Genomic DNA, 1,350 nt, shown 5'->3' on the forward strand with positions numbered 1-1,350 from the left:
CCTTGAGTCTAGGAGTTTGAGACCAGCCTAGGCAACATGGTAAAACCCTATCTCTACCAAAAAAAAAAAAAAAAAAAAAAATTAGCTGGGTATGGTGGTGCATACCTGTAGTTCCAGCTACTCAGGAGGCTGAGGTGGGGGATCACCTGGCTTGGGGAAGTCCACGCTGCAGTGAGCTACGATCACACCACTGCATTCCAGCCTGGGAGACAGAGTGAGAACCTGTCTCAAAAAAAAATAGGTTGTACCTTTATAAACAAGAAATCAAAATTTTTTTCTCCCTTTCTTATCCCTCTTGAGCTTGGAAACTCGAATTGAGTATTCTTTATTTTATTTTATTTATTTATGTTTTTTGAGAAAGGGTCTTGCTGTTTCCAAGGCTGAAGTGCAGTGGTGCAATCTCAGCTCACTGCAATCTCTGCCTCCAGGGTGCAGGCATTTCTCATGTCTCAGCCTCCCAAGTAGCTTGGATTACAGATGTGTGCCAACACACCTGACTATTTTTTGTATTTTTAGCAGAGATGGGGTTTCACTATATTGACCAGGCTGGTCTCAAACACCTGACCTCAAGTAATCCATTCACCTCGGCTTCCCAAAATGCTGGGATTACAGGCATGACCACTGCACCTGGCTTTATTGAGTATTCTTATTTTCACAGATAATATAATTATTTGCACAATTTCAGTAAGAATCTGTTCTCATAAAAGGACAAAATTGAAAGCATTGGTTATATTACCAAGGCTTTGACTGGAGTGTCATAGTTGAGAATGATGATAGCATCAGAAATGACCAGACAGTTTTAAGAAACTACAATTGATCTTATCGAGCCAATGCTTACAAAACCCCTTGGAAAAATCTGCCTGGTACCTGGCTTACAGGGCTCCCAGTACTGCAGATGTAAGGAAGGGCACTTCCTGGCAGGCTCAGGAAACTTAGGATATTTTGGGAAATCCAGGAAGAGAGAAATTTACCCAAATCTGTAGGTATTGCAGGAGAAATCTGGTGGTGAGTTCTTGGCTTGGCTTCTTATCCTTGAGAGGCTGTCAAAGTCTCATCTGAGATTTCTTGTGAAAAGTTCCAGCAAAGCAAACTCAAAAGGCCCATGTGGTCAATTACCACTTTGGCTACACTTATATAAATAATCAGGCTGAATTTAATGAGACCAGACATTTTGTAAACCAGAATCAGAATGTAGGTGATAGTGGAGGGAATTTTTATGTTTTAATGGAAAACTCTAGAGTACCCTAGTAGGTTCCTTCTTGCAAATTTTGCCAGTGCTTAGTAAATTCCCAATCCTTCTGTTTCCTCCAATGTCTGCCTACAACTCTCCAAACCAATGTTTTCCATTTT

This window comes from Homo sapiens, chromosome 2, assembly GCF_000001405.40.
Source record: "Homo sapiens chromosome 2, GRCh38.p14 Primary Assembly".
NCBI lineage: Eukaryota > Metazoa > Chordata > Mammalia > Primates > Hominidae > Homo > Homo sapiens.